Below are 6000 nucleotides of genomic sequence, written 5' to 3' on the forward strand. Positions count from 1 at the left end.
TCCATTAAATTCCCTAGTATACCATTTGAGTCCATTCCATTCCATTCGAGTCCATTCCATTCCATTCAGGTCCATTCCATTCCATTCGTGTCCATTCCATTCCATTCAATTCGAGTCCATTCTATTCCATTCCATTCGGGTCCATTCCACTCCATTCCATTCGAGTCCTTTCCATTCCATTCCATTTCATTCCTTTCAGTTCCATTCCATTCCATTCCATTCGAGTCCATTCCATTCCATTACATTACATTCCTTTCAGTTCCATTCCATTCCATTCCATTCGAGTCCATTCCATTCCATTACATTACATTACATTACGTTCGTCTCCATTCCATTCCATTCCATTCTACTCACTTTGTTTCAATTCCATTCCATTAGTTTCTAGTCCATTCCAGTCCATCCGAGTCCATTCCATTCCATTCGAGACCATACCATTCCATTCCATTAAATTCCTTTCTAGTCCATTCGATTCCATTCCATTCCATTTTAGTCTATTCCATTCCATTCTATTCCATTCCATGCCATTCCATTCCATTCATGTGCATTCCATTCCATTCAATTCAATTCGACTCCATTTCATTCCGTTACATTCCAATCCATTCTATTCTATTCCATAACATTACATTCCGTTCAATTCAAGTCCATTCAATTCCATTTCATTCCATTCGAGTCCACTCCATTCCATTCACTTCGAATCCATTTCATTCCATTTGATTATATTCCATTCATGTCCATTCCACTGCATTTCATTCTGTTCCATTCCAGTCCATTCCATTCCATTCCATTCCAGTCCAGTCCATTCGAGTCCATTCCTTTCCCTCCGTTCGAGTCCATTCCATTGCTTTCGTGTTCATCTCATTCGATTCCATTCCATTCCACTCCATTCCTTTCAATTCCATTCCCTTCTATTCCTTTCAAATCCATTCCATTCCATTACATTCTAGTCCACTCCATTCCATTCCATTCTATTCCATTTGAGTCCATTCCATTCCATTCGAGTAAATTACATTCCATTCGATTCCATTCCATTTCATTCCATTCCAGTCCATTCCATTCAATTCTGTTCAATTTGATTCCATTACATTCCATTCCATTCGATTCCATTACATTCCTTTCCATTCGAGTCCATTCCATTCTATTCTCTTCCATTTGAGTCCATTCCATTCCATTCCATTCCATTCCAACCCATGTCATTTGAGTCCACTCCATTCTATTCCGTTTGAATCCAATCCATCCAATTCCATTCCATTCTTGCAAATGCCACTGCATTCCATTCCATTCGAGTCCATTCCATTCCATTGCATTCCATTTGGGTCCATTCCATTCAATTCCATTTGAGTCAACTCCATTCCATTGCATTCGAGTCCATTGCATTGCATTCCCAACCATTCGAATCCATTCCATTCCATTGCATTCGAGTCCATTGCATTGCATTCCCAACCATTCGAATCCATTCCATTCCCTTCCATTCGAGTCCAGTCCATTGCATTCCATTCCATTCTTTTTGAGTCCATTCAATTTCAATCCATTCCCTTCGAGTCCATTCCATTCCACCCAATTCGAGTCCATTCCATAACATTCCATTCGAGTCCATTCCACAATATTACATTTGAGTCCATTCCATTCCATTCCATTAGAGTGAATTCCATTAAAATCCATTGTATTCCATTCGAGTGCATTTTACATTCCATTCTATTAGAGTCCATTCTGTTAAATTCCATTCCATTCCTTTCGAGTCCATTCCATTCCATTCCATTCCATTCCATTGCATTCCATTCCATTCCTGTCCATTCCATTAAATTCCATTCTAGTCCCTTCCATTCAAATCCATTCCATTCCAGTTCGTTACATTCTGTTGCCTTCGAGTCCTTTCCATTCCATTCCATTCCATTCCGTTCCTTTTGGGTACATTCCATTCAATTCCAATCGAGTCCATTCCATGTCATTCCATTCTCTTCGAGTCCATTCCACTCCGTTCCATTCTATTCAATTCAAGTCCATTCCATTCCATTTCCTTCCATTCCATTCAATTCCATTCCATTCCATTAGGGTCCATTCCTTTCCATTCCATTCAATTCCATTCCAATGCATTCGAGTCCATTCCATTCGAGTCCATTCCATTACACATCATTTCATTTGATTCCATTCCATTCCATTCGAGTCCACTCCTTTCCATTCAATTCTAGTACATTCTAGCACATTCCATTCCATTTGAGTCCATTCTATTCCATTTCATTCCATGCGATTCCATTGCATTGCATTCCATTCCAGTCCTTTCCATTCCATTCTATTCCATTTGTGCCCATTCTATTCCATTCCATTCGAGTCCATTCCATTCCAAAACATTTCATTAGAGTGCATTTCATTCCATTCCAGTTCTTTCCATTCCATTCTATTCCATTTGTGTCCATTCTATTCCATTCCACTCGAGTCCATTCCATTCCAAAACATTTCATTCGAGTACATTCCATTCCATTCCGTTCGAAACCATTCCATTTCATTCGATTCCATTCAAGTCCATTCAACTCCATTCCATTCTATTCCACTCCATTCCATTACATTCGAGTCCATTCCATTCCATTCCAATCCATTCGAGTCCCTACCATTCCATTCGATTGCATTCCAATCCATTCAAGTAAATTCTGCTCCATTCCATTCTGATCGAGACCATTCCATTCCATTCGAGTCCATTCCATTCCATTCGAGTCCATTCCATTGCTTTCCATGCCATTCCATTCCATTGAATTCATTTCCATTCCATTCCATTCCATTCAGGTCCATTCCATTGAATTCCATTCGAGTCCTTTCCATTCCATTTGAGTAAATTCCATTCCATTTCATTCGAGTCCATTTCATTCCATTCCTTTCCTTTCGAGTCCATTGCATTCCATTCAATTCCATTCCATTCCATTCCATTCCATTCCATTCTATTCCATTCTGGTAAATTCCATTCCATTCCACTCGATTCCGTTACATTGCATTCCATTCATTCGAGTCCATTCCATTCCATTCCATTCAACTCGAGTCAAATCCATTTCATTCCATTCCATTCGAGTTCATTCCATTCAATTCGAATCCATTCTATTGCATTCCATTCCATTTGATTCTATTCCATTCTATACCTTTCGAGTCCTTTCCCTTCCATTCCATTAGGTCCATTGCATTAAATTCCACTCTATTCCAATCGAGTACGTTCCATTCCATTCCATTTCATTCGTGTCCATTCCATTGCATTCGAGTCCATTCCATTCCATTCCATTCTAGTCGATTTCATTCTACTCATTTCCATTCGAGTCCATCCCTTTCCATTCCATTCGAGTCCATGTACTTTCATTCCATTCCATTCGAATCCATTCCATTGCATTCCATTCCATTCGAGTCCATTAAATTCCATTCCATTCGAGTCCATTCAATTCTATACCAATGGAGATCATTCTTTCCAATCCATTCGTGTCCTTTCCAATCCATTGCATTCCATTTGAGTCCATTCCATTCCATTCCATTGTATTCCATTAAATTCCATTCAATTCGACACCATTCCATTGCATTCCTTTCCATTCGTGTCCACTCCTTTCCATTCCATTCCTTTCCATTCAAGTCCATTGCATTCCATTCCATTCCACTCAAGTCCTTTGCATTCAGTTGCATTCGAGTCCATTCCATTCCATTCCATTCGAGTCCATTCCATTCCATTCGAGTCCATTCCTTTCCATCCAAGTCCATTCCATTCCATTCAAGTACATTCAAATCCATTCCTTTCCATTCAAGTACATACAATTCCATTCCTTTCCATTTGACTCCTTTCCTTTCAAATCCAATTGAGTCCATTCCTTTCCATTCAAGTCCATTCCATTCCATTCAAGTCCATTCTCCTCCATTCCATTCTACTAGAGTCCATTCCATTCCATTCCAATCCATTCCATTCCATCCCATTCGTGTCCATTCCATTCCATTTCATTCCATTCCATTCCATTCCATTCAAATCCATTCCATTCGTGTCCATTCCATTCCATTCTTTTCCATTCCATTCCATTCCTTTCCATTCCATTTGAGTCCATTCCTTTCCATTCCATTCCACTTGAGTCCTTTCTATTCCATTCCATTTCATTCCACTCTAGTCCATGTCATTCCATTCCATTCCACTTGAGTCCTTTCTATTCCATTCCATTTCATTCCACTCTAGTCCATTCCATTCCATTCCATTTCGTTCCATTCCATTCCATTCCATTCCATTCGAGTCCATTGCTTTCCATTCTATTCCATTACTTTCCATTCGAATCCATTCCATTCCATTCCACTCTAGTCCATAGTATTCCAGTCCATTCGAGTCCATTCCATTCCATTCTGGTCCATTCCATTCAATTCCATTCGAGTTAATTCCAATCCTTTGGAGTCCATTCCATTGCATTTCATTGCATTCCTTTCGATACCATTCAATTCCATTCCATTCCATTCGAGTCCATTCCATACCATTACATTCGAGAACATTCCTTTGCATTCCACTCCATTAGAGTCCATTGAATTCTATTCCATTTGAATCCATTCCATTCCATTCCTTTAGATTCCATTCCATTAGTGTCCATTCCATTAAATTCCATTCCATCCTATTCGAGTCCATTCCATTCCATTTCTGTTCATTCCATTCCATTACCTTCAAGTCCATTCCATTAAATTCCATTCTCTACCATTCAAGTCCATTCCAGTCCATTACATTCCATTCAGGTCCATTCCATTCCATTGCAATCTATTCTATTTGATTCCAGTCCATTCCATTTGAGAAAATTCCATTCCATTCCATTCCATTTGAGTCCCTTCCATTCCATTCCATTCGAGTCCATGCCATTCCATTCCATTCCATTCGAGTCCATTCCATTCCATTCCATCCATTCCATTCGTATCCATTCCATTCCATTCCATTCCATCCGGGTCCATTCAGTTCCATTGCATTTTGGTCCATTCCATTCCATTCGAGTCCATTACATTCCATTCAATTCGAGTGGATTCCCTTCCATTCCATTCCATTCGAGTCCCTTCCATTCCATTCAAGTCCATTCCTTTCCATTCAATTCCATTTGACTCCATTCCATTCCAATCCATTCGAGTCCATTCCTTTACATTTGTGTCCATTCCTTTCCATTTGATTCCATTCCACTCCATTCCATTCTAATAGATTCCATTCTATTTCATTCTAATCCATTCCTTTCCATTCAATTCCATTCCATTCCATTCCATTCCATTCGAGTCCATTCCTTTCCATTCCATTCCACTTGAGTCCTTTGTATTCCATTCCATTACATTCCATTCGAATCCATGCCATTCCATTCCATTCCATTCCATTCCATTCTATCCCATTCCATTCCATTCGAGTCCATTCCGTTCCATTCCCTTCCATTACATTCCTTTGGAATCCATTCCATTGCATTCCATTCAAGTCAAATCCGTAGCATTCCATTCCATTCGAGTCCATTCCATTCCAATCCATTCCATTCCGGTCCATTCCATTCAATTCCATTCTAGTCAACACCATGCCAATCCTTTGGAGTCCATTCCGTTGCATTTCATTCCATTCCTTTCGAGACCATTCAATTCCATTCCATTCCATTCGAGTCCATTCAATTCCATTACATTTGAAACCATTCTTTGCATTCCACTCCATTAGGGTTTGTTGAATTCTTTTCCATTTGAATCCATTCCATTCCATTCCATTCCATTCCATTCCATTCCATTATTGTCCGTTCCATTAAATTCCATTCCATTCTATTTGGGTCCATTCCTATCCATTTGTGTTCATTTCATTCCATTCCATTCCATTAAATTCGAGTCCATTCCATTCCATTCAAGTCGTTTCCATTCCTTTCGAGTCCATTCCATTCCATTCCACTCCATTCGAGTCCATTCCATTTCAATCCATTCCACTCATCTCCATTGCATTCCATTGCATTCTCTTTTTGTAGAATTTGTAAGTGGAGATTTGAAGAGCTTTGAGACTTATGGCAGAAT

General features: G+C 39.5%; 1 annotated feature.

Annotated features, from left to right (window-relative positions):
- Positions 4920-5704: an enhancer, noted in NCBI's record as "OCT4-NANOG hESC enhancer chr10:42816107-42816891 (GRCh37/hg19 assembly coordinates)". NCBI's record gives its function as "activates a minimal SCP1, AML or CMV promoter by ChIP-STARR-seq in primed H9 embryonic stem cells {active_cell/tissue: H9 hESC(primed)}" and the evidence as "EXISTENCE:reporter gene assay evidence [ECO:0000049][PMID:30033119]".

The sequence above is a fragment of the Homo sapiens genome, chromosome 10 (assembly GCF_000001405.40).
Source record: "Homo sapiens chromosome 10, GRCh38.p14 Primary Assembly".
Taxonomy (NCBI): domain Eukaryota; kingdom Metazoa; phylum Chordata; class Mammalia; order Primates; family Hominidae; genus Homo; species Homo sapiens.